The 24,472-nt window shown below is 51.3% G+C and overlaps 2 protein-coding genes, 1 long non-coding RNA gene and 1 pseudogene across 7 annotated transcripts in view, besides 6 other annotated features; all 4 read right to left on the bottom strand.

The window, feature by feature from the left end:
• Nucleotides 1-1,660: 1,660 nt before the first annotated feature.
• LOC105372990 (uncharacterized) lies at nucleotides 1,661-5,476 on the bottom strand. The gene is made up of 4 exons (NR_148046.1): nucleotides 4,918-5,476; nucleotides 4,267-4,545; nucleotides 3,777-3,870; nucleotides 1,661-3,141 (listed from the first exon to the last, which is right to left on the bottom strand). It is a non-coding gene; the product is annotated as an uncharacterized LOC105372990 (long non-coding RNA).
• Nucleotides 1,823-2,344: an enhancer, noted in NCBI's record as "H3K4me1 hESC enhancer chr22:30831805-30832326 (GRCh37/hg19 assembly coordinates)". NCBI's record gives its function as "activates a minimal SCP1, AML or CMV promoter by ChIP-STARR-seq in naive H9 embryonic stem cells {active_cell/tissue: H9 hESC(naive)}" and the evidence as "EXISTENCE:reporter gene assay evidence [ECO:0000049][PMID:30033119]".
• Nucleotides 5,477-9,107: 3,631 nt separating the features above from the next.
• MTFP1 (mitochondrial fission process 1) lies at nucleotides 9,108-12,394 on the bottom strand. 2 transcript variants are annotated; one of them, NM_016498.5, is made up of 4 exons: nucleotides 12,216-12,394; nucleotides 11,318-11,445; nucleotides 10,759-10,991; nucleotides 9,108-9,700 (listed from the first exon to the last, which is right to left on the bottom strand). In NM_016498.5, the coding sequence occupies exons 1-4, from the start codon at nucleotides 12,280-12,282 to the stop codon at nucleotides 9,628-9,630; spliced, it is 501 nt and encodes a 166-aa protein (NP_057582.2). In that variant the 5' UTR covers nucleotides 12,283-12,394; the 3' UTR covers nucleotides 9,108-9,627. The 2 variants fall into 2 exon arrangements, with proteins under 2 accessions (NP_057582.2, NP_001003704.1); NM_001003704.3 differs by lacking the exon at nucleotides 10,759-10,991.
• Nucleotides 11,015-11,575: an enhancer, noted in NCBI's record as "H3K4me1 hESC enhancer chr22:30822575-30823134 (GRCh37/hg19 assembly coordinates)". NCBI's record gives its function as "activates a minimal SCP1, AML or CMV promoter by ChIP-STARR-seq in primed H9 embryonic stem cells {active_cell/tissue: H9 hESC(primed)}" and the evidence as "EXISTENCE:reporter gene assay evidence [ECO:0000049][PMID:30033119]".
• Nucleotides 11,576-12,134: an enhancer, noted in NCBI's record as "H3K27ac-H3K4me1 hESC enhancer chr22:30822016-30822574 (GRCh37/hg19 assembly coordinates)". NCBI's record gives its function as "activates a minimal SCP1, AML or CMV promoter by ChIP-STARR-seq in naive H9 embryonic stem cells {active_cell/tissue: H9 hESC(naive)}" and the evidence as "EXISTENCE:reporter gene assay evidence [ECO:0000049][PMID:30033119]".
• Nucleotides 12,395-12,858: 464 nt separating the features above from the next.
• SEC14L2 (SEC14 like lipid binding 2) overlaps nucleotides 12,859-24,472 on the bottom strand; it is a 28,286-nt gene continuing 16,672 nt past the window's right edge. For 3 of the 4 annotated variants that reach the window (NM_012429.5, NM_001204204.3, NM_001291932.2), the window contains 4 exons: nucleotides 22,297-22,403; nucleotides 22,075-22,214; nucleotides 21,759-21,928; nucleotides 12,859-15,885 (listed from right to left, as the gene is read on the bottom strand). In NM_012429.5, coding sequence (NP_036561.1) covers nucleotides 15,755-15,885; nucleotides 21,759-21,928; nucleotides 22,075-22,214; nucleotides 22,297-22,403 — 548 coding nt within the window. In that variant the 3' untranslated portion in view covers nucleotides 12,859-15,754. Of the gene's footprint in view, nucleotides 15,886-21,186; nucleotides 21,929-22,074; nucleotides 22,215-22,296; nucleotides 22,404-24,472 lie in introns of those variants that run through there. The other variant, NM_033382.3, reaches the window with a different exon arrangement.
• Nucleotides 13,752-13,861: a silencer, noted in NCBI's record as "silent region_13613". NCBI's record gives its function as "represses an Ori minimal core promoter by ATAC-STARR-seq in GM12878 lymphoblastoid cells {active_cell/tissue: GM12878}" and the evidence as "EXISTENCE:reporter gene assay evidence [ECO:0000049][PMID:35858748]".
• Nucleotides 15,730-16,309: an enhancer, noted in NCBI's record as "H3K27ac-H3K4me1 hESC enhancer chr22:30817842-30818421 (GRCh37/hg19 assembly coordinates)". NCBI's record gives its function as "activates a minimal SCP1, AML or CMV promoter by ChIP-STARR-seq in primed H9 embryonic stem cells {active_cell/tissue: H9 hESC(primed)}" and the evidence as "EXISTENCE:reporter gene assay evidence [ECO:0000049][PMID:30033119]".
• Nucleotides 17,014-17,117, bottom strand: RNU6-564P (RNA, U6 small nuclear 564, pseudogene; annotated as a pseudogene).
• Nucleotides 17,308-17,602: a silencer, noted in NCBI's record as "tiled region #13809; HepG2 Repressive non-DNase unmatched - State 6:EnhF, and K562 Repressive non-DNase unmatched - State 2:TssF". NCBI's record gives its function as "represses a minimal TATA promoter and a strong SV40 promoter by Sharpr-MPRA in HepG2 and K562 cells {active_cell/tissue: HepG2 | K562}" and the evidence as "EXISTENCE:reporter gene assay evidence [ECO:0000049][PMID:27701403]".

The raw sequence follows: 24,472 nt of genomic DNA, 5'->3' as shown, positions 1-24,472 counted from the left end.
AGGTCACTTGCCTTCTCTGATTCTTAGAATGTAAGTCTGGAATGGGGAGCAGTTTATCTACTATGAAAGGGAAATAAATCTGGGGACCTCAAAATCATTAAGCCAAAGGGAAAAGACAAGCTGGGAACTGCATCAGGCAAACTTGCCTCCCATTTTATTCCTAAATAAGATAGCTACAAGGATTAAAAAGCTACATACCTCATGCACATTTTGCCCACAAGGAAATTCCTTGTAGGCCTCAAGATTTTTACCCTAAAACAGTTCTGTTGGATTTCACCCTGGCAATGTAAATGAATAGCTGATCTTCACAGGTGCAGGACAAAGGACAGAACTCAAAGTCATCCCTCTGCTCACCTGAGACAAATGCATCTGATTGCTTCCTCTGCCCTTATTGTTTATGTAAAAATGCAGCTTCACTGAGCCAGACTAAAGCATAAGTGACTATTCCTCTACCCGCCACCCCGGCTCACATGTAAATTGTTATTCAGTGAAAGGCTGATAAGGATCCAAAAGAACACAAACTTTTATCTCTTATCGACCCATGACCTGGAAGCCCCCACCCCACTTCAAGTTGTCCTGCCTTTCCAGACCAAACCCATGTACATTTTACACACATTGATCGATGTCTCATGTCTCCCTAAAGTGTATAAAACCAAGCTGTGCCCCAACCATCTTGGGCACATGGCATCAGGGTGAGGCTGTCACAGGTGCATCCTTAACCTTGGAAAAATAAACTTTCTAAATTGATTGAGACCTGTCTCAGATACTTTTGGTTCACACTACCTACCCTCTGGGTTAGCAAGAGGGTCAGAAGAATGGTGGTAAACTACAGGACTTTCTAGGTATGGAGACCCTGCCTTGTCAATTTCCATGGTATAAATGTGTCCACTATGGCCTATTTCAAGCTTCCCACATAAAGCGATACACAGTAGCACATGATAATGTGGTCTTTCCACCAAACAGAATAGATGTAAATAAGCTCCCAAGAGCATAGATGATAGTAAGGTATAGTAAGGATAGTAAGGATGATAGTAAGGATAGTGAGGATAGTAAGGATAGTAAGATAGTAAGATAGTAAAATATTTACTATTAAGATAGTAAAATGATTACGAGGCAACAAGTTTTGAGCATTTACTTTGTTTTTAGTAAAATGTATTTAAATCTAAGTTTATATCATTTGATCTTTTTATATTGTTTATTTATTTATTTTTTTTGAGACAGGGTCTCACTCTGCCGCCCATGCTGGAATGCAGTGGTGTGATTACAGCTCACTGCAGCCTCAAACTCCTGGGCATAAGCGATCCTCCCATCTCAACCTTCTGAGTAGCTGGGACTACAGGCGTGCACCACCACATCCAGCTAATTTTTATATTTTTTGTAGAGACAGGGCTTCACCGTGTTGCCCAGGCTGGTCTCGAACTCCCGGGCGCAAGCAGATCACCTCCCTCGGCCTCCCAAAGTGTTAGAATCACAGGTATGAGCCACCACACCAGCCTACATTATTTAATTTTTAATAATGGCTGTGTCTAACAACGAGCTCATAAAATTCCTGAAAAGCTAACAATTGGCTGTCATCCCTACTGGCCAGCTGTGACATGCCACTTACTGGTCTACAGGCAAGAGGATATGCAAAGTAAACCTCCAATGGGCCCTCCTCTCTGTCATCCTCAAGAGGCTCAACCTCCGCCCTAGGGGGCTGCTGGGCTTCTCAAACATTAAGGGGCAAAGGCAGGAGTGCTCTGAGCCCAGCCTACCCAAGGCAGCCACAGGTTTGGAGGAAAAACGCACTTCTTTCCACCCCTCCCCACCCCTGTCTGAGTCCTGCCATGCCTAAGACAGTATCCCCAACAGTGGCCCCTGTTCTGGGGACCTCATGTTCCCAGCCCTTCCTCAGGAAAACCAGAGAGCTAAACTCATTGGTGAACATCTCTTTATTGGAAAATCCTGGTGGGTGTAGGGGCTCCTTAGACTCTGGTGCCCGGACCTGCATCTGGACATGCTTCAAAGCTCTGGGTCCTGAGCCAGCAGTAGTAAAGGAAGACACAGATGCCCATCCCCAGGGCAGACAGCAACACCAAGAGCAGAGTCCCTGTTACCAGTGTCAGTGAACTGGGAAGACTTCCATATATAAGAGGGAGAGGCTAGGTAGGGCCTGGAGAGGCAAGAAGTGCGCCAGCAGAGGCAGGAAGTGCACCAGCAGGGGAAGGAAGTACACCAGCAGGGGCAGGAAATACACCAGCAGGGGCAGGAAGTGCGCCAGCAGAGCCAGGAAGTGCACCAGCAGAGGCAGGAAGTGCGCCAGCAGAGCCAGGAAGTGCACCAGCAGAGGCAGGAAGTGCATCAGCGGGGGCAGAAAGTGCACCAGCAGGGGCAGGAGATACACCAGCCGAGGCAGGAAGCGCCCCAGCAGAGGCAGCAAATATACCAGTAGGGGCAGAAAGTGCACCAGCAGAGGCAGGAAGTGCACCAGCAGGGGCAGGGAGGAGACTGGATGACAGCCCCCATTACCCAGAACCATGTTGTTCACATGGGAGAGGGTGCAGGTATACCAGCCTTGAACGACGCCTATGTGACCTCAAGCCTCAGTTTCCCCATCTATAGAATGGGACCTGATTGTGTCTACTGCATGGGATTATTGGGAGGATTCTTGGGAGGATTAAACAGAAAAATGGAAGCCCTGGCCCCTCCTTTGGCAGGCAGGCAGGCAACAAAGGCAGCATGTATTAACAATATGCAGTGGGCAGCAGTTACTGTTCTGGATAAGGAGGCTCAAAGGGGTAAGTGGCTTCCAAGGTCATGAGGTAAGCAAGCTTACAGCCAGATTGCCTGAGGTTTCAGGCTCTGCCCTGGCAGGCCACAAATGGGGGCCCAGGGAGGAGAGGGAGGGGAGAAGGAGGAAGCCAGAGCCTGGTTCTACAGGGACTGCCAAAGACCACTGGATGCAGAGCTCCAGTGTCTCTCACTGTGAAGGGGACCTGGAGAAGAGCCCAGGCTACAGGAGAGGGCTCCCTTGCTCGTCTCCAGGCCCCCTAGAGTCAGAAGCCTGACTCAGTTCAGAGGACAAGTCAGCCTTCTCTGTCACCTGATTGGAAGCCTTCTCAGGGGCCTGATGGGAAGCCTTCTCAGAGGCCTGATTGGAATCTGGAAGCCAAAGACATCAAAGACAGTTTTAAGCCACAACACAACATCCCCTCACACCCCCAACACACACAGCTATAAACTTCTGACCTTCTACTATTTGTTTACTGATACTGAAAGTTGAGAGAATATGAAGCTATTTTTTTTCCAAGGACAGAAAAGATAACATGTTGTTTATACTATGGTGTGAGTGACTACAAGCCTTCTCTCTCCTCTATGAAACTCTCAGAAGGGCATATATCAAGGGTTATGTGGGTGGAGGTGAAGGGGTCTCCAGATATCTGTTTAATAAAGATTACATGAGAGGCTCAAAAGTGGCAGGCCAATCTAATGCTCTCATTTTGCACTTGGGGAAACCAAGGCCCAGAAAGGGAAAGGATTTGCCCAAGGTCCCACACAGTAGAAGCCTCTCCAGACAGGATCCAGAAGCCAGGACCCTCCTTGGTTCTGATCAATGGGCACCTTGAGTGGGTCTTTGTGGTCCAGGCCAGTGTCAGTTTCCTCAGAGGCCTTTAGTAGCAAGATGATGTCTTCTATAAGCCTGTTCATGCAAGGCTGTGACTGATTCCCCGGGCCAGCTGCCTCCCTTGCCTCAGAGCCTACCTCCACCCTCCACACCCAAAACAGGGGCCTCCTACCTGCCAAGGACCTTTGATAGGGTAATCAGGGGGCCAGGCAGGTAATCTCACAACTGTCACTCATACTCCCAGGGAGGCATCCAGAAGTTCTTACCTAGAGGTGAGGGATGGAGGTGGTCAGTGCACCAGAGATGGGAGCTAGGGGTGGCATGGACCAGACCTGCATTTAACAAGCAAAGAAACAGAGGCTAACAAAAGGTCAGTGACTTGCCCATGATGTCACAGCCAGCAAGAGCTGGAGCTGGGATTTGAACCTGGGTCTAGGTCACAGTCCAAAGCCTCCATTCCCAGTATACCTCACACTGCCCACTCTAGGCCAAAGCAGTTGGGCTTGTGGTCCAGCCAAGCATGGGGAACTATTGCAGAAATTCAATCTGAGCTATTTTGAGCCTCAGTTTCCTCACCTCCCACACAATTAAGTGAGGTCATGTACCTCAAATGCCAGTTACAGGGTAAGGCATGCAGTACACCTTTGGTGAACATGACTCACCATGAGTGCCCCTGTGGAAGGAACAGGCCTTCTTGGTAGCATCAGATGGGACCTTTAGATTCCAGAGCAACAGCTTGTGGTGCACCCCGTAACTTCCAAAGATTCCTCAGCTTGGGTCTCTGTTCCTACGGGGTGGCAGAGTGGGGAGGGGGTTATCTGTTTCCACTCACATCAGCAGGAGTACCAGTAAAGCTGAAGGCCTGGAAGGAGAGCTCCAGTCTCTTGGGGACCTCTTGGGGCACGAAGTGGGAGTGGAAGTTCTTGCCGTTCACCAGGCACCTGGAAGGCACAGGTTGGAAGGTCATCAGGGTCAGACCCCTGAACTGGGATCTGGTCCTAGCCCCAACACCACCATACACCATCATTTGTTGAGAATTCTGCATGCCAAGCACTGAGCTAAGCGTCACCCCATTCAGTCTACACAGCAGGCTTTGAAGATTCTGGCACTATCCCCATTTCACAGAAGGGCAAACAGAGGCTCCAGAGGTGAAAGGGCCAGTAAAGCATTCTTGCTCCCCTGGCCTAGAAAGGACTACTCAAGAACGCCCAGGGAGCACTATCTGGGCATCCGTGCCTTCCAGCCCTGGAAGGCTCTCAGCCCCTGTCCCAGCCTCCCCAGAGATATCACCCACTGAATTGTACCCATCCTACCCTATCCTCCTCCTCCAGGTTCAGTACCCATGATTCCTGACAAGGCTGTAGTGTGCAGGGGCCACTTCCATATCCTGGCTGGGGCTGATCACACACTCGTCCACATATACCTGTAAAGGCTAATGGGAGCTGCCAACCACAGCAAACTCCATGTGGAGCTCAGAGCCCAGGAAAATGGTGCTGGTGTTGGTGGGGTCTGGATCCTCCAGTATGGCCCCACCCTGAGGTGGAATGAAACCAAGATGGGGAAGACACGAGACCCAGAGATGCTGAAGGGTTTGCCTGAGGCCACACAGCAAGAGGAGAAGCAGGAAAAGCTAGGGCCAGGTGGCCAGAAGCCCAGTGCCCTCACACTCTGTTACTGGTCCTCCCTCACTTCCTTATTTCTCCAGGGGTAACCTGGCCCAGAACTGGAGGCACAGGAGTCCCTGAGCTAGAAGACCTTCCTCTTGGGACATTACTTCAGCCCAGCCAATGTCCCCCACCTGTGGGAGGCAAAGAACCAGGCCAAAGTCTCATGCTGAAGTCCAGATTTCCAAACGCAGCCAGAGAGTCAGTGACCAAGGAGGTGGGAGGTGAGATGGGAGCTCCTGGGCTGGCAGGGAAATAAGGGGGGGGCGGGGAACATTGCAACTCTGGCATGTGAGGGGGCCCAGAAAACAAACACTAAAGGCCCATGCCAAGTCCCCCAGGGCAGCCCATGAGGAGGAAGAACAGGAGGGAAAAGGCCAGGAATTCCAAATTCCAACCCCCAGGTGAGCATTTCCAGCCCTGCCCCAGGCTCACACCAAGTGGGGGCCAGGAGGTCAGCGCCTGGTGGCCCCTTTCTGGAGGGGCAGCCCCCATCCAACCTACCATTCCCTCTTCCTGCAGACCTCCAGGTGGCAGGGCCCTAGACAGGCTTAGGGGTGCTAGGCATTGCTCACGCCTTGACCACACTGCTGACCCAATGGCGGGAGGCAGCACTGCAGGGCTGCTCTGAACTGGGTGGTGGTGCATAGACCAGGTCAGCAAATAATTCCACTATCTTTCCTGAGATCTGCGAGGATACTTGCTCCTTAGGATGGTGGGAAAAGGCAGGAAAGGTCTACTCCCAGCTTGGGCCCCCACCTCACTGGGTGGTCTTGAAGTCACTTGCCCTGTCTGGGCCTCAATTTCCTGCTAGGCCTCATTCGAGGTCCCTGTCTTGCTTAAATGCCTATTCTGGCAGGGCTCGGTGGCTCACACCTGTAATCCCAGCACTTTGGAAGGCCGAGGTGGGAGGATCGCTTGAGCCCAGGAGCTGGAGACCAGCCTAGGCAACATAGCGAGATCTAGTCTCTGCAAAAAAAAAAAAAAAAAAAAAAAAATCAAAAAATTATCCAGGCACACGCCTGTGGTCCCAGCTACTTGGGAGGCTGAGATGTGAGAATCACTTGAGCCTGAGAGGTAAAGACTACAGTAAGCCATAATTGCACCGCTGCACTCCAGCCTGGGCAACAGAGCGAGACCCTGTCTCAAGGAAAAAAAAAGCCAATTCTGCTTTGAAGAATGATGTGCTGAGTTGCATCTGGTGGTAGACAGTGGGGTCTTCCCTTCTGTGAGCCTCAGTGTCTTCATGTGGAATATGGGAATGATGGTTTTATCTCCTCACGGGGCTGTTGAGGATGCAAGAAACAAATGCACGTAAAGGGCACGTACAAACACACAGATGCTAAATGGCAAATCTGCATCAAATCCTTAGCTACTGAATTCTGCAGAGATACAGGGCTCTGCATCTTTGAGAGAAAAACTCACACTCGGAGAGGCTGTGACTTGCAAATCAGTATGATCTGATTCTACCCTTCTTTCCAGCCCAGACACCCCAGCTCTTCTCCCCCGAATCTCCCGGGTACTCCCTGGCTCTTGGCAGCCTTGTCCTCGTGAGCCTCCAACAGCCCCCTCACCAGTTGGATGAAGCCATAAGCTTTGAATGGGGCAGTGAAGACCTCATAGCCAGGTATGGCAGGGACTGGGGAGGGCAGGCAGGTGCCAAGGCACAGGTGGCAAGCATCCACCTGGGGCTCCTTCCTCACTGCCAGGAGGACATCTGTCTGATTACAGTCCTGCAGGAGGCTGTCTCCTGGCAATCCAGCCCAGGCTAGCTCAGGCGGAGAACCAGACTCAGCGAGAACATGGCCAGCAGAGGGTGCCCAAAAACCTCCCCCAGCATCCCCCACCTTCAATTAATTCCCTGCATCTCCAGAATGGAGCAGGGAGCTGGGCACAGTGACTCACGCTTGCAATCCCCGCATTTTGGGAGGCTAAGGTGGGCAGATCAGTTGAGGTCAGGAATTTAAGACCAGCCTGGCCAACATGGTGAAACCCCGTCTCTACTAAAAATACAAAAATTAGCTGGACATGGTGGCATGCACCTCTAGTCCCAGCTACTTGGGACACTGAGGCAGGAGAACTGCTTGAACCCGGGAGGCAGAGGTTGCAGTAAGACAAGTTTGTGCCACTGCACTCCAGCCTGGGTGACAGAGCGAGACTCAGTCTCAAAATGATAATAATAATAATAAATGGAGCAGGGTAAAATGTTGGGGGGTTGTGGAGATGGTGGTGTTTCCCCCTACAGACAGGATGTCCACCGACCTCATCCCTATCAGCCTGGCCTGGGAGTGCCTCAAAGCCCCTTCTGTGAGCACCTACTATGTGCCAGGCATCTGCAAACTTGCACCCCGGTATTTCCTCACAAGTTACCACCAACGGGGCAGTCAAGGGCAGAGGTGGCCCACAGTAAGGCATAGTAAGGGGCAACAACAGAAGGGGCACTGGAGCTGGTTCTGAAGGGTGCTCATAGCTGGCCAAGAGGAAAAGGATTTGCAGCTGAGGAACAGTGTGTTGTGAGGAAAGGCATAGAGGCACAGGAGGGCAGGTGATGGGGAGAAGGACAAGGCTGGGCGCTTAGGCCCATGAGCACAAAGCCTATATGTGGCCTGCACAGATCCCAGCTTGAGGGAGAGCCTGCAGAGTGGAAAGTGGAGAGTGAGTGAGCAAGGAATTGGTGGTAGATGCCAGGAGATGTCACAGGGATGCAGGTGTGAATGTACCCCGCATGGGGCTGTGACTGCCGGGGGAGAAGATGAGCTGGGAAAATGCTGGGCTGGAGAAGGATGTGAGTGCCAGCTCAGACAGGGAATGGGGGGTGGGGTCGGGGGCTAGAGAACAAGGCGGGGCTTAAAGCCTTTAAGGGAGCTGGGAGGGAGTGACAGGTGACTGGGCAGAGGCCATAGGGGCTTGGGAAGGGGACCTTGCCAGTGTGGGACAATAAGAGTAGCAGAGAAAGGCTCAGCCCACATCAGACTCATCCTGTAGCCATGGATACCCCCAGAGCAGCAGGGGCCACCACCCCGGAGCCCCCATCCTGTCTTGCTGGCAGCACCCCTACCCAGCCCTGCAGCCCCTTTAAGTCCCAGCCCAGGTGCAGGTGAGTCCCACCAGGACAGGGTCAGCCTACCTGACTGCACCTGGGCTGCAAGGGATGGGGCCAGGGTCTTGGTGGGAGCTGATTTGGTGCTTGGGGCAGGGCTGAGAGGGGCCCAGGTCTGCTTCAGCCCTGTGCTCCCACCTCTCTACCTCTCTGAGCTGTTGAGGGGGATGGCCCAGGATCAGAGGAATGGCCCCCTCTAGCACTCTCGAGCCCAGCAGCTCAGGGGAAGCCACAAGGAAAACAGGCCATTCCCTGATTCTGAGTGTAAGAAGCCCCCTGGTCACTTCCTTCTCCAGGCTGCCGAGTCCCCTCATGAGGAGGTCTCATGTGACCCTCATATGGGGCTGACACCACCATCTTGGCCACCTTCAGGCTCAGGTGGTATCTGCCCAACAGGCTCCCCTCCCAGAGGGGTTGGTGCTTTAGGAGGCTAGAAAAAGAGGGCAATGCCAGGCTGAGTGCAGTGGCTCATTCCTATAATCCCAGCAGTTTGGGATGCTGAGGTGGGAGGATTGCTTGAGCCCAGGCATTCAAGGCCAGCCTGGGCAACATAGGGAGACCCCCATCTCTATTAAAAGTAAGTAAGTAAAGGGTAATGCCTACCCCAAAGGAGGCTGGCAGCACCAACGTGGGATGCCAGGCACCTGCAGGGAAGCACTAATGGGCGGGGAGACTGCTACCCATCCCTCCTCCCCACCACCACATCCCTGCTCCTCCCAAACAGAAATGAAGACATAACAACCTCTTCAGGATTTATTGGGTCAGGGAAGGGCCTGGCCAGAGAATCTGTCCTGAGGTGTCCCTGGTACTGCACTCCTGAGTTTCTCCCTGAGTTGTCTGCCGCTCCTTGTTCAGCCATACCACCATGGGGTGACTCTGTCAAGCACCTGGGGGTCCTGGGTGCCCAGCTTGCCAAGTGATCTTGGGCCTATTCCTTGCCCTCCCTGAGCCTCAGTCTCTCATCCTCCATGGGAGGATGTAATTTTCCTGAAAAAGACAGGGCCGGGCCCACCCAGGGTCCACTTCCACTCAGCATCTTGGATTCCAGGGAAGCAGACAGCGTTCAGGTCCTGCCCTTCTGTGACTCCCTGCAGCCACTGCTTCTTGAAGCCTTTGTCTCTAAGCTTCTGTCCAGCTCAAACCCACCCAGGTGCCAGGGTCTTTGGACACCAGGGAGCCAGGTGTCCACATTCCCTGGCAGGAGTAGGAGGTTGACATGAAGCAGGAGGCCGATGCACAGGCCAGGTACCAGAGTATGATCAGGAGGAGCTGGGCTTCCCCACTGTTGGGTAGAGCTTGCGCAGGCTGGAGTCCAGGAGGAAATCCACCGACCTGTAGGGAGTGGAAGGGTGGTGAGCAGGTGACCAAGGGTGTTCATGAGGGAACAGAAGGCAGAAGGCCAGGGTTAGGGAAAGGGGCGCTTAGATGCAGGATACAAATGCCATCCAGCCAGAGACCCACCCTTATCCTGATCCTTCCACCTTGGGCTACCTGGGGAAGCTAGAATCAAACTCCCAGAATAGAAGCCATCCTCTTCTTTATTCAGGAGGAAACTGAGGTACTGGGTAAAAGACTTGCTCAGGGCCTCAGGGTCAGCTATCTTCTCCTGGAGAAAGACTGCTCCTCTCACTCTTACATTGGTCTGGTTGGGTTGAGCCCATATCTAGTTCTAAGACCAAGCACGTGACCCAAGCCTGGCCAATCAGCAAAGGGAAACTGGCTCATAGGGTGGGCATGCAGTCCAGAATGGACCAATGACACCCTTCCTTGGGATTTTTGTTGTTACTGTTTAAAAGCTTCTGCTGGGGGAGGCTAAGCTGGTGGGATAGAACTTGGGAGCTGCTAGGGCCATTTCTACTCCCACAAGGAGAAAGCAGGTGAAGCCAGCAAGAAATAGGGTGGGGTGGGGAGAAAGGCAGCAGGATGGGGAGACCCAGACCCCTAATGACATAATTTGGGTACCTAGATCTAGCCATGCCTGAATGCAACACAGCCCTGGACTTTTACTCCATTTTATTCAAATATTCAGTTTGAGTTAGGCTTCTGTCACCAATACCTCCCAAAATGCATCCCCTCTAGGGTGCACCTGCTCCTGCTTCTCTCTGGTTGTTTTGTAACACTAGACTTTCTTTCTGGGAATTTACTTGTCCTGTGTCCCATACCCTCAACGCACCCCTCTTCTTTTATTGCTAAAGTGCCTGCCATACCATATGACAAGGGTACAGGCTGTCCTTTCTAACCCAGGAGCCAAGTGCCAGCCTTGTCCCTGCTATTGCTCCAGCAAAGTGGGCATACCCCACACTTCACAGAGTCTAGCTCTACCTGGAGACTGGATGATCCACTCTCATCACTGGAGAGTGGATGATCCCTGAGGCCAAGAAGGTACCCACCTGTCAATGGGGTGGATAATGATGGGGATGGTCAACAGCCCAAGCGCGGTGGTGGTCCACTTGCGGACAGCCAGGGGCCAGCGGGTGGCAGTGCCCAGGACATAGAGAGAGGCAGCACACACGCGGTTGATGGTGAAGCCCGGAATGGCCACAGAGGCTAGAGCCTGCCATACAAAGGTGTCCACCACAGCCACAGTCACCCTGGCGCTGCGGCCTGCTTCAGGGCTGGGCACCTGGTGGGCGCAGAGACACTTAATCCAGCTGGGGCAGAGGCAGAAAATCCTGCGACAAGGGGCACGAGGCTAGACCGGGAGGGGCAAGTGGCCAGTGGACTTGTCCGCACCCAGGAGTGGGGTACAGTCTGCCACATCCAGTTCGGGGAGTGGGAGTGTGGGGGCAGGGGTACACTGTCCTACAAACAGGACTGTCTATGGACTGCACTAGGCAAGGTTGTAGGGACTGGAGTGTCCCACAGGGACTTTATCACATGCAAGGCTGTGGACTGAACCACACAAGAAGAGAGCTAGGGTTGGGGGTTGGAAAATAGGCTAACACTCACCTCTCCAGCCTTCTTGCCTTTGTCAATGGCATCCGCCAGCACGTAGGAGCTGGCCACGCCATAGCTCAGCCACACCACCGCCGCTGGCACAAGAGAGCGGAAAGCCTCGCCCACCTCATTGGCATAGCCTGGGGGAGGGAACATTTAATTCCTAGGCTCGCAACTGTTCCACGAGGGGGCGTTGGAGCAGGCTGGTTCTCATCCTAGCCAGCTAAGCAGTCCCTGGGTGACCTTAGGCAAGTGACTTGACCTCTCTGAGCCTCCCTTTCCGAGATGTAAACTGGTGCCATGATGCCCACCTCGGACTCGGGCCACTGAGGGCGGACTGAGCACTGAGTCACTGTTACCATTGCTTATTGGTTAGATTTCCTGGTCTTGGTCCCAGGAGTAACTGCACTAATGAGGTGACAGGCACCCAGAGGGGCAGAGTGATCGAGGGCAGCGCCACTGACCAGACGCTCGCCAAGTGCCAGGGCTTTCTGCGCTTTATCCCATTCCACCCTCGCAACCACCACCCAATGAGAGAGGCCCTCGTGTGTATCTCGTTTGTTTTTTGTTTTGTTTTTGTTTTTTTGCCGAGGAGGAAACTGAGGTTCAGACAGAGCCAGTGCGTGTCAGGACCGAAATGGGAGTGGAGATCCCGACTCCACAGCCAGCCAGAGCGCATGCCAGAGCGGGCAGCCCGCTCACCCCATGGGAGCTTCCGCCCTGGGCGACCCACCAGGGTAGTGTGACCTTGGGCAAGTCCCTAGCCCTGTCTGAGCCCAGTCTCCGGCCCAAAAGCAGAATGAGAACTAAGATCATCCCGCCTCCTCCAGGCCCCGGGCGGGCGTCCGGCGACCCCTGCTTCTCCAGCCCAGTGGTGGTGGGGTCGCCGCGCCCGTCGCCCCGCGCTCACCCAGGTATCGCACCCACGTGTCCCGGTAGAGATCGCGCTCTGCGCCCCGCGGCTGCGGCTCTGACATGACTCTCCCGCCACGGCCCCGGCCACTACAGCCGGTACTGGCTCCACTGCAGTCTCCGCCGCCGGCACTTGGGTCTGCCCGGCCGGGACCCGCCGAAAGTCCCGCGCCGAAGGACAGGTCAGGAAATCTCCGCCAGCAGGGAGCGTCTGCAAATTCCCCCCGCGCACCGAAGCCCCTCTCCCAGGCTCGGGTTTTACAGACTGGTTTTCGTCACGTTTTCTCTGAGCTGTTGGCGCTAATCGCTCCCAGGACTGAGTGTAGGTTTTGGAGCCAAAGAGACAGGGGATCAAGTTGGGGGATGCTACACTGCAAAGCTTGTGACCTCGGGCTTATCCAGCATCTCTTTATTCATTTGTAAAAACGAGGGAGGGACACAGGCTGGGCCCGTTGGCTCACGCCTGTGATCCCAGCACTTTGGGAGGCCGGAGGCGGGAAGATCTCTTGAGCCCAAGGGTTCGAGAACAGCCTGGACAACATAGCGAGACCTCGTCTCTACTAAAAAAAAAAAAAAAAAATTAATGTAATAAATAAAATGGGGAACACAATAGTGTCCACTCCCTAGGATGGTTCCGAGGATTAATTATAACAGTCACCATTTATTGAGTTTATTGCCAGTCTACATGTTCGCTAAAGGACTCTCCATGTCTTACACCTGAAACCCTCCCACCAGCCTGGGAGCCCGTTTTACAGGTGAGAAAATGGAGGCACAGAGAAGGTGGGTCATTTTCCCAGAACACACAGCTGCTAAGTGGTGAAGTTGTGATTTGAATCCAAACAGTGTGGATCCAGATCCCGTGCTCTTAATGCGAGCTCTAAATGAGGCTAGAGGAGTGAACGGTGAGCCCCTGGGAGGTAGGTGCCTGGACTCTGGAGTCCCTTCTCAGCAGTCGCCATGTATAACTAGGAAGCACTCGCATTTAACTGGATCAGTATGTCCCCAGACTGAGCTTCTTGGGGACAGGATGTTGGATGAATTAATTAACGAATGAATGAATCGGGCAAGGGAGACAGAGTTGGGGTTAGTGATTACAACAGGAGGAAGCCTTCCCCCGCTGGACCTCAGTTCACCCAGGTGAGCAATGTGTGCACTTCACTAAGTCTCTGTGACTCCTTGGCGGGTATAATTGAGCGGCGTTGGAGACAATCCTGGGTTCAAATCCTAGCTGTGCCGCCTACTGGCTGTTAGCCTCCCTGAGCCCCAGTTCCCACGTCTGCAAAAAAAATGAGAGTAGCCAACATTGACGAGCACTTACTTATACCAAGCTCTTAAGCGCTTTGCACGGCTTATTTCCTTTAATCTTTGCAACAACCCAAAGTGTAATAGTAAGCACAGGGTTTTTGCGTGATACCCGGTAGGCCTTATTAAGAATTAGCTCTTATTTTCATCAAAGGTAGAGAAAATGAGTAACTATTGAGGCCCCCGCTGGCTCCCTACGGAGGCCCCCGCTTTCAGCCCTAGGCGCCTCTGTCTTGTAGGGCTGTATAGGACAGTCCGGTCAGCAGTTACCTCAAGCTGAGCTGGGCTTGTAGGTTGGGGAGGGTGGTGGGTGGGAGAAAAGTTGATGGGGAACGCAGCGGTTCCCACCCCCTGAAACACCGGCAATGCTGGCGTGGAATTATTAGACAGTCCCTAAAACCACGTGATCGCTGCTCCTCCGCCTCCCTCTCATTCTGGGCCCAGTGCTAGCTCCGCAGGCGCTCGCCCGGACTCACACTTGGCTCGCACGGGCTACGCGGCACGTACTGAGCAGCTGGCGGGGCAGGGTCTCCGCCGTCACTGTGAAGGCCGTGGGGAGCATCCTTAGTGCCCTGATCAAAGATGGCGGAAGACAACCCACCAGCTGGACCAATCAGAAGGCAAGCTGGGCGTGGCCCCTTGGGAAAGCTCACGCTAGAGAGCCGAGGAGGATTTCTGCGCATGCGCCCTATCTATTGGCGTGAAACGGCTGCTGGGTCCGGGTCCCTGACGCCGTCTGAGTTTGGGCCTCTTGAGTGAGAGGCAGCGAGGAGCCTAGCGGTGGGCATTGAATTTCACTCCCTGCGCACTGAACGTTGCTTTATTCATTGGTTAATTTTCCTAACAGCGTTGTAAACCCAGGCCGGGATGTCCTGAGCGTTCTGGCAGAGGCCCGTGCAGCCTCGGCCCCTTCCGGTCCGCGCTAGCCTGGCCTTTGCCCTGAGCTCCCTCAGCTTCGCAAGATGAGCTTCCCAGACGGGGCCGGGGCCTGGCTCTGAGGGAAAGGCGTTCCCGCCAGGTCTGGGGCCGCCTTCCCATGTTCTCTAAAGCCCAGCACCTGTGGTTCGTTGGCGGGGCTCGTGGGATTGGGGTAAGGGCTGTGGTTTCGAGGCCGTCTGTGGCCGCCCCCAGCCCCTAGTCTGCGAGACGCCGGCCCCGCCTTTGGGCGGCCTCCTGCCTGGGGGGCCTCCAGGCCTGGCTACGCCGACCGGCACCTGAACTCCCTGCACGCGTTGCATGCCTCCCACAGAGATGGGACTGCTTAGTAAGACCTTGCTCAGGTCAGTCAGGAAGCGGGTTGGCGGGCACCGCGGGACACTCAGACTGGCAAACACCCTCTCCGAGTGCTGCTCTCTTGATCCCACTTAGCATTTTTGTCTCGGGGTTGCTCACATGGAGGACTGCTTGGTGAGAGGCCGGTAGCACTGAAAAGGGCACTGGACGATCTGCTTTTAGCATTCACTCCCACCCCCAACCTCCCTGGCCCTCCCTGCAGCTGCGATCCCTGTGGGTCATTTCCCTGGCGCTTTGTTTGCATGGAGAACAGCGGGTGGGTACCCGAAGTCCCAGGAAGCTCTGAGTCACTGACAATCATTAGTAATCAAAGAGGCAGGCCGTGTGGCCCAGGAGTTGCCAAAGTCTCAAAGTGAGGGAGAGGCCAGCCTGTCTACCGAGTGGGAAGATGTGTGCTGACTCAGGCCACCTCCTGAGACCTGGGAAAAGCCAAAAGCTACCCCAGCCTCAGTGCTAAAATGTTTGGAAGAGTTTCTGATCCCCACCGTAACTCTAGCAACCAGCTACCCTGCTACTCCTCATTGCGATCTAAACTTATGTGTTCATTTAGGAGCAAGTTTCTCCCCGGCAGCTGACTTCCCTGAAGTGTTAAGTCCCAATCTTTCACCCTTTTCTAATTTTTTTCCCTGCTGCCACCCTGTGGTACATGCCCCCCGCCACCCCCAGCTTCGCTGTCCCTGGACAGGTGAAGTTGGCACAGTTTACAGGACAGACAGATCCTATCACGATGGCCAGCCAGCTCCTGGGGACTCCTTAGGTATTTGATAGACACGGAGACCCACTGCAGTCGCTCTTCCTCTGCCTAACTGAAATGAAAGCTCCTGAGGTCTGTCCTCCAGCCCAGTTTCTTTGGGCTTCAGGGTTGTGCGAAAATGACTGCTACAAGGGGTAGAAATTGACAGGGAGACACTGAGGGGGCCAGGCCTGCTATAGGAGAAGGTGTTATTTCGGGGTGCCTGCCCCCAGCTGTTTCATCTTCTCTTCTGAGGCTTTGTCTGGAAGCAGGACCTCCACAGTGAAATTGACCTTCTTGGCATGAATGAAGCTGTAGGTGTTGTCAAACCGCAGGACATCTGAGGGAAGGCAGAAACCAGACAGACATTCAGGCAGTTCTGGCAAAGGGCTTGGGGACAGTGATTTTTGTTGATGTTTAGTGACTGAGCAAGGCAGTGTGGCAGGTCATGGGGATGAAGGTAGCCTAGGTAATGATCCTTGACCTTCTGAAACTTAATCTAGCGGGGTTGACAAGACATTCATGGAGAGAAAAAAATAGGCAGAACATGCCAAGTGCCAGATGAGTGACAGAGACCATCTCGTCTGTACCAGCTTGGAAGAAGAGGGCCTGGTAGACTGAAATCATGTGAAACGCTTTTTAAAGGAGTTAGAGCTTGAACTGGACTTTGAAAGGAGGGAGGAGAATTAGCAGCAGCAGTAGCAGTTGTAATAACAATAATAGCTGTGTGTCGCAGCACTGGGTTGGTAATCTATATGTTATCTCACTCTTTCCCCCAACTCTACGAGTTCAGCAGTAGTCCTGTTTTATAGCTGATAAAAAGGAGGTGGTGTGACTCTGGTGACACACAGTGAGGAAATGACAGAGCTGGAGTTTCCGTCTGTTCCACATTGCTGCATTTGTTCTGCCTGACTTGGACCCTGGAAAACCTGGCCCTCTTCAATTTCTGACAAAAGGTAAAATGTGCAAACTTTGTGAACCAGGAATTTATCCTGCAAAAAGGTAAATGGACAGAGATGCTCGTTGCATCCCTATTTGTAATAATAAGAGATTGGGAAAACTCAAATGTTCATCAAAGGAGAATTGCTTCAACAATTTTATGTTGTAATCCATGTGATAGAATACTGATATATTTTTTAAAAAAGAGGTTAGCTCCACAGAAGTGACAGGAAACTGTCCACAATGTGTCCTGAGGCCAAAACAAGTTGCAGAACAGTATGTAAACAGTTTGTAACTTTTTTGTAACTACATAGGTAAAAATACTTTTGGCTTTACTTCTTTGTCTGCTTAGACTCCCAGATTCTCTGATGATACCACTCTGGTGCTTGTCCTAATGGGAAAGTTTCCTGAAATCCTGCGATGAGTTTGACAGTTTCAAAATTCCTTCAAACATACAGTGAATGACAGACAATTCCTGTGAATATGTGTGTGTGTGTGTGTGTGTGTGTGTGTTTGTGTATGTCCTGTTTTCTATTTATTTATTTAAGATAACCTGATTGTCATCCTCGCGCAGGGGCCATGCTAATCTCTGTATTGTTTCAATTTTAGTGTATGTGCTGACAAAGCGAGCACTGTATGCCCTGTTTATTATGGAAACATGTAATGCTTCTAGATGGAAGATATTTGATAGGATAATAGACATTAGCAGTGGTTTCCTCTGGAAAGAGAAAATGGGCATGCACTTGGCAGAGAAAGCTTCCACACTTTGGCAGAGGAACAGGCTGCTTTTAATCTAACCCTGTTTCTTTGAGAAGTTGTTCCATTTCAGCCAAACACCGCTTCAGGAGAACTGAATGTGAAAACAAAAACACTAGTTCTGCCCCATCCCTATCCCGGTCTTCTCTCACTGTTCTCAGCAAGAAAAAAAATATCCTGTATTTAATCCTAAGACTTAACCTTTTCCTGACCCTGGACAAAATGCATAGTTTAGACAAAGGGTAGACACACCACCCACTCTTTCCTCATGGTGAAGGTGTTAGTCATCTATTTTTCCCCTGTACTAGAGGTCTTTCAGAGCCAATAGTCCCTCTGGCAAGAGTGAAGCTTCATCTCTGCCCTGGATGATAGAGTCTTAGCAACCAGAATCAGCCATGCTGGAGGAGAGGTCCTTTGCATTCATTGCACCAAGTACTAGGTCGATAATGGCCCTGCCTAGCAAGATACTTGGCCTCAGAAACAAGAAAGGGGTTGATCAGAGAACCACAGGCCAGAGGGAAGTGGAGTCATTGCAGCTCCAGAGTCTGCATGGTTCATTTTGACACTAATCATAGACTCACAGAGCCCCCAGACACCCTCCAGGATAAGGCTCCTTAACTTTAGTTGGGTAACTGACCCCCTTGAGAATCTGATGAAAGCACACAATTTGGCTGGGCGTGGTGGCTCACGCCTGTAATCCCAGCACTTTGGGAGGCTGAGGCGGGTGGATCACCTGAGGCCGGGAGTTCAAGACCAGCCTAACGAACACGGAGAAACCCCATCTCTACTAAAAATACAAAATTAGCCAGGCGTGGTGGCCCATGCCTGTAATCCCAGCTACTTGGGAGGCTGAGGCAGGAGAATCACTTGAACCTGGGAGGCGAAGGTTGCAGTGAGTCGAGATCGAGCCATTACATTCCATCCTGGGCAACAAGAGCAAAACTCTGTCTCAAAAAAAAAAAAAGAAAAGAAAAGAAAAGAAAAAAAGGCACATAATTTTAGATTTCCTGGAGCCCACTGTAGAACCTCTGGGGCCATGGTTCCCAATGGGAAAGGTACAACCTTACCCTCTCATTCATGTATTGAAAAAATATATATTCTAAATTAGTTCCCTTTTATATCTCTTTTCTATTACCATAGGAGATTATATTGATTTTTAAATTACATGTGTAGGTAGGATGGGTTATATTATTGGGATATAATATTCAGAATTTCTGTATTTTGAATTTCACTTCAGAATAGTAAAGGGGACATTTTAGACACTATTTGCTGTAAAGAGGAAGTGTTTGGTCTTTACGATTTAGAACCACTGCTCCGGGGGACCCCACATTAAGATCTGCTCTGGTCTACTCCTCTCTTTTTGTTGTTGTTGTTGTTTTGAGACAGAGTCTCTCTCTGTCACCCAGGTTGGAGTGCAGTGGTGCAATCTTGGCTTACTGCAACCTCCGCCTCCTGGGTTCAAGCAATTCTCATGCCAAGTAGCTGGGATTACCAGCATGCGCCACCACACTCAGCTTATTTTTGTATTTTTTAGTAGAGACGGGGTTTTGCCATGTTGGCCAGGCTGGTCTCGAACTGTTGGCCTCGAGTGATCCACCCACCTTGACCTCCCAAAATGCTGGCATTACAGGCATGAGCCACCACGCCCGGCCATCACTTCTGTCATTTTAAGGAGAAGGAAAACCAAACCTAATAGAGACACTTGCTGAAAACACTGGGAGAGTCATTGGCAAAGCTGGACTCAGAAACCAGGCCTCCTGGTGCCTGGCTGGGCTCTTTTCACCACAGCACTGCTCACCCTTTCTATAGTGTTTCCAGTCTTCTGACCACATTGTGCACTTCTAGTGGACAAAGTCCAGATCTTTCTTTGGGAATCTTTTCATTCCTAGTTGAGTATTCTGTACTCAGTAGGCCCTTGGTAAATATTAGGTGAGAAAACAAAAGCGAAATCAATTCAAACTTTGGTTTTCCTCCTTGGTAATTTAGTGCACTGGGATAAGGACCAGAGAAGCCTGGGGAAGGTTAATGTGCTCTTGCCATTGGAGGCTGGCACAGTTTTAATTTCTCCACTGGATGACTGTTCTGCTTTCCAGGGGTCTCCTGGTTCTCCAAGGGCATTGCCCTCCCGCAGATGAGCTTGCAAGCTAATACTGGGTTCTCTCTGGGCTCACATCTAACCTTAGCTGTGGCACCAGGTAACAGCTGATTCCAACTTCATTGTCTTTGTACCTGGGAAGGGGGAATGGATCCTGTGGCCTGCCTCTGCTCCTCTTGGGAATGGGCAAGGAGCAGATCCCAGACAAGACCCTGCAGGCAGGTAAAGGTTCTGGTTGGGAATGTATCCAGAAGGAACTAAAATAAATTTGGGGGTTTGCAAGCCCAAGCCTGATTATGTTAAAAGGTTCATGTTCCCTTCTTGGGCAATGTCCTTCAGATACTAAAGAGAAGATAGAGGGGTAATGGGCAGATGCTGGAAAATGGTTTGGGGCTCTCCTACAGGCTCTGTGACCTTGGGTCAATTACTTCCCTGGTCTGGGATTCCACACTCTCTGACACATCCAGGACAGTCAATGGCCAAGAGGTTCTGGATCAGGACTCTAGGATTCTCTGATGTCTTCTGTCTTGATGTCTACATAAGCTACTTTATGGGAGAACATCCCTTCTCTATGCCCCAGCTTCCCCATCCATTAAAAAAATAATTCAAGGCTGGGCATGGTGGCTCATGCTGGTAATCTCAGCACTTTGGGAGGCCAAGGCAGGAGGGTCGCTTGAACCCAGGAGTTCGAGACCAGCCTGGGCAACACAGCGATACCTCGTCTCTACTAAAAACAAAGAAACAGACAAAAAAATTCAAGCTTATATGTATTAAGTGCTTTCTCCTCTGTGGGTGACATTGTCTGGGCTGGTGCTAAGCCTTGTTCTTGCTGAAGCACACAGTATACACCTTCTCCCCCAGGACCCGGCTGCTCACTAATAAGAATATTCCGCCTCCCCCAGGAGCTATATGGTACCACAGAGCATCTGTGAGGAGGGGGCAGTGGAGATGAAGGGTGCCTGGGATGTGAGGAAGGAGGCAAAATCTCAGGTTGGGTGACCATGTAGACAAGCAGAGAGGCCAAGACATCTGTGAGGCTAGTTCAGATCTCCTGGTAGTGCTGGTACTACCGTAGAAATGGGGCACAGGGCTTCTCCCATCTCCCGGCATTGTCTGCAGGATGGCCCTTCTCCCACAGGCCTTGTCCTAACAATAATAGTGGTGACTGCAGTGCATTGAGTGCTTGCTCTATGCCAGGCATTATGCTAAGTGCCTCACAGAACCTATCACATCAAATCATCAGGTATCCCTGTGAGATACCCCAGTGTAGCAGTCCGGAAACCGAAGCTTAGGTTTTGTCACTTGCCAAAGGCCATGGAGCTAGCCTTTAGTCAAGTCCAGCTCAGCTCTGATGATAAAGCCTTTGCTCTGATTGATTTTCCATTGGCTCTGACAAAAAGAAACTGGAGATTTGATTGTGGGTGTTGAAGGGAGTGTAGGTATGGTTTTTCTGCTTATAAATGTAATATTAATACGTAGTCATCATAAAATATATTTGCAGAAATACTGTAAAAATGAAAGCCCTCCATAAACATCCTATCATCCCAGAGATAACCACTGTTAGAGTTAGCATAAATTTCCCCAGAGTTCTTTTCTGTGTACACACTTCCTTAACCAAAGTAAGTACATACCATACATGCTGTGTTTCATGCTTATTTGTTTAACATGTCCCAGACAGTTTACATGTCAGTTTATTCTCTTTAACATTGTATGGATGGACTGTAATTTACTTAACAGACCTTATCATGGTCATATGGTTTACTGCCAGTTTCCCAGGCTACCGGGAATATCCTTGTTCCTGTATCTTTGAGTATTTGTGTATTTCTGTAGGATAAATTTTCACAAGTAGAATTGCTGAGTCAAGGGGAATTTTAATGGTATTACAAAGTTAAGAGAGATTAAGCACCTTTTCAAATGTCTGTTTCCCATTCTTATATTCTTGTGTAAACTGCCTGCTCATAGTCTGTGTCCATTCTTTGGTCAGCTGGGAGATGAGTGAAACTCAGGGGTGAAGGCTGCACTTTTGAGCATCTGCTTACCTTGTGATCCCATGCCCACCCAGCCAGTTCTGTCTCTGTGACCTCTGGGAAGGAGCATCCCCAAGAAATATCTGTCCAGTCACAGACCCAGTTAGACCTGGACCAGAAAGCAGACGTGTTGAACCCCTGTGATCGCCTAGGACTGTGACTCACCCATACCTAGGAGTATGAGATCAAAGTCCCACCCTGCTGTTAACCAGTTGGGTCACCATAAACAAGTCTCCAAGGCTAGATTTCTTCATCTATACAAGGAGAGGATTGAACTGATGGCATTCCACTTCTAGTTCTAACACTCAGAGCCAAAAATCCATGGAGGAAGAGGAACCTCACAGGCAGAAAGCTGGACATGGGGCTTCAAGGCATTGCCAAGGCAGAGATACTTACAGATGCCAGGATCACTGCAGGTGAGGGTCCCATCTTCAGGGACCAGGTGGGAGTTGTACCTCTGGTTGGGCAGCACCTCTGTCATCTCCCCTGCCCGCTGCCTCTCTCCCATCTTGGTCTTCAGGAAAATCCCAAAACCAACATCCGCTCCATCTGACATAAACTGCCACCTGCAGGGGATATCACCAATTGAGACATAATTCTGTCTGTGTGTGCCCTCTCCGGGGTCCTGGCACCAGGGCTTCTCCTATTCCAGCCCACCTATCAGGACCTATAGATGAAAGCTCGGGTCTCCTGGAAGGGCCCAGGCCCCTACCTGAGGACACAGCCAGGGAAGAGGATCTCATACTCCACTTGGTGGGAGGAGCCACGGGAAATCTGCACGCTGTGTTCATACTGCTGTTTCACCTGGTCTCGCACATAATACTTCCTGGGGATGTCACCCCCGTAGTTGATCTAGAAGCATGGCATGGAGTGAACTGGAATGTGCATTTGAGCCAGGCATCCCTGTTCACCTCTAGCCTCTGGCGGCTCATACCTTGGATTTGCACTTGGGGTTTCCATCAGGGTCAGTCATGGTGCCCCCATACTCCACAGGCACCTGGTCAGGGCTGATATGTTTCAGTAAAACCTCCTTCCAATTTGCTGGCAGGAGAGGGAAGGAAGGATAAAGATGTATCTCAACACTAGGTAAGATTTCGCCATAACCCTAGTGGTCTACACTAAAGAGGCAGAAAAAACCCATCCATTGCACCCCACAACACCCCGCCTCAAATTCCTGCATTAGGAGCACACAGTGCATGCATAGTACTGCAGGGGGTTCAGCAGGAGCCAGAGGATGGCTCTGCCCCAGGCCAGAAATCGAGACCCTGGTTCCTGCCCTCGTGTCTGAACAGCTAAGTGACATTCTTGCCCTGCCTGGTTATGGTGGGAGTGAAATGAACTAAGTACTTGAGAAGGCTTTTCTGTTTGAGACAGAGTCTCACCCTGTTGCCTAGGCTAGAGTACAGTGGCGCAATCTTGGATCACTGCAACCTCCGCCTCCCGGGTTCAAGTGATTCTTCCGCCTCAGCCTCCTGAGAAGCTAGGACAACAGGCGCCCGACACCACACCCAGCTAATTTTTTGTATTTTTAGTAGAGATAGGGTTTCACCATGTTGGCCAGGCTGGTCTCGAACTCCTGACCTCAGATGATCCACCCACCTCGGCCTCCCAAAGTGCTGGGATTACAGGCATGAGCCACTGCGCCCGGCCGAGAGGGCTTTTTAAACCATAAAGTGCCTTATACACGTTAAGAGTATGTTATTACCCCATGGAGGTGATACATTGAAGTACAGCAGGAGAGGGGACAAAGAAAGGGTAGAAGGACATTCCATGCAGAGGAAACAGCACGTGTGGCGGGCAGGAAGGCCTGAATGCACATACCCTGTCCTGATTATACTGAACACTGTGAGGGCAGAACTATGTGTCTTTCCCCCACCTTCCCCTACAGCTAAGTCGTGACTTAATAAGTAAATGCATCTCTGTAGAGTCACCCCTTAAATGGATTCTTGGCTTTACCCCAGCCACCATTTCACTTCTGCTCCCATTGTTTTCAGCTGTTGAGCCACCAGTAATTTGGCTCTTTTTTTTTTTTTTTAAAATACCCAAGCTCCTTCCTGTCTAGGAGAGTTTGACTCTAGCACAGCCAATGCTAAGAACCACTTCACCAATCCAAATTCACAAATATCAGCCAGGTACAATATTTTGATACTAAAACCTGCCTATGCCTACTATATAGAGCATATATAGGCAGCAGCTCCAGGCCCTGGGGTACAAGCCAGTGTCATGCTGGCTGGAGACCCGCAGAAACTGTCCAGAGTCTGCCAGCCCTCAGATTTTTAGGGACCAAAGACCATGCAACTCCTGGGAACACAGTGTCTGTGGTCTTGGGGTGATTTAATCTGCACTGCTAAGCTCCAGTGACCAGCCCGAGTGAATCTCCCCCCTCTGTTGAAAATTCTGTATCTTCCCAGCCTGAGGCAGGTTTGGTTGAAAGAGTTTTAGGTGTGGTAGGGGAACAGACTGAACCTCCTACACAGCTCTGCTGCCAGGAAACCAAACCGTCTCATGCCCATGGTGGGTGGTAGCAGCAGAAAAAACAAAAATCATAAAAACCTCTTGCTCAGCTTTTATAGTTCTTCCCCCAGTCCAGCTGGAGAGTTGGGATAAGGCCAGGAGGATTCTTCCCATCTTACAGAGAGAATAACTGAGGCAACAAAAAGCAGAGAGCTGGCTGGGTGCAGTGGCTCATGCCTGTAATCCCAGTGATTTGGGAGGCTGAGGCAGGAGGATTGCTTGATCCCAGGAGTTCAAGATCAACCTGGGCAACATAGTGAGCTCCCGTCTCTACCAAAAATAAAAATTTAGGTGGGTGTGCTGGCTGTAGTCCCAGCTGCTCAGGAGACTGAGGTGGGATGATCATTTGAGCCCAGGAGATTGAGGCTCCAGTAAGCCGTGATCACGCCACTGTACTCCAGCCTGAGCAACAGCAAGGCTCCCTCAAAAAAGAAAAAAGAATGCTTTTGTGGGGACCTAAATTTAAAAAAGAAAAAAAAAAAACAGAGCTTGAGCTTGTTGCTGCCAGAGCTAAGTCTGGAACCCAGAAGTCCTACACTTCCCTGATGAGTTCACTTCACTCCCCGGGTCTCACTAGCATACATTTGGAAAATCTC

The sequence above is a fragment of the Homo sapiens genome, chromosome 22, assembly GCF_000001405.40.
Source record: "Homo sapiens chromosome 22, GRCh38.p14 Primary Assembly".
In the NCBI taxonomy this organism is placed as follows: Eukaryota; Metazoa; Chordata; class Mammalia; order Primates; family Hominidae; genus Homo; species Homo sapiens.
This window is presented reverse-complemented; position numbering and strand designations above follow the sequence as displayed.

Excerpts from the sequence above, each read along its gene's own strand:
- MTFP1 (NM_016498.5), bottom strand. The coding sequence starts at position 12,282 with ATGTCAGAGCCGCAGCCGCGGGGCGCAGAGCGCGATCTCTACCGGGAC. Across the intron at positions 10,992-11,317 it reads AAGGCAAGAAGGCTGGAGAG|GTGCCCAGCCCTGAAGCAGG; the intron begins GTGAGTGTTAGC and ends TGCGCCCACCAG. Across the intron at positions 9,701-10,758 it reads ATTATCCACCCCATTGACAG|GTCGGTGGATTTCCTCCTGG; the intron begins GTGGGTACCTTC and ends CACTCCCTACAG.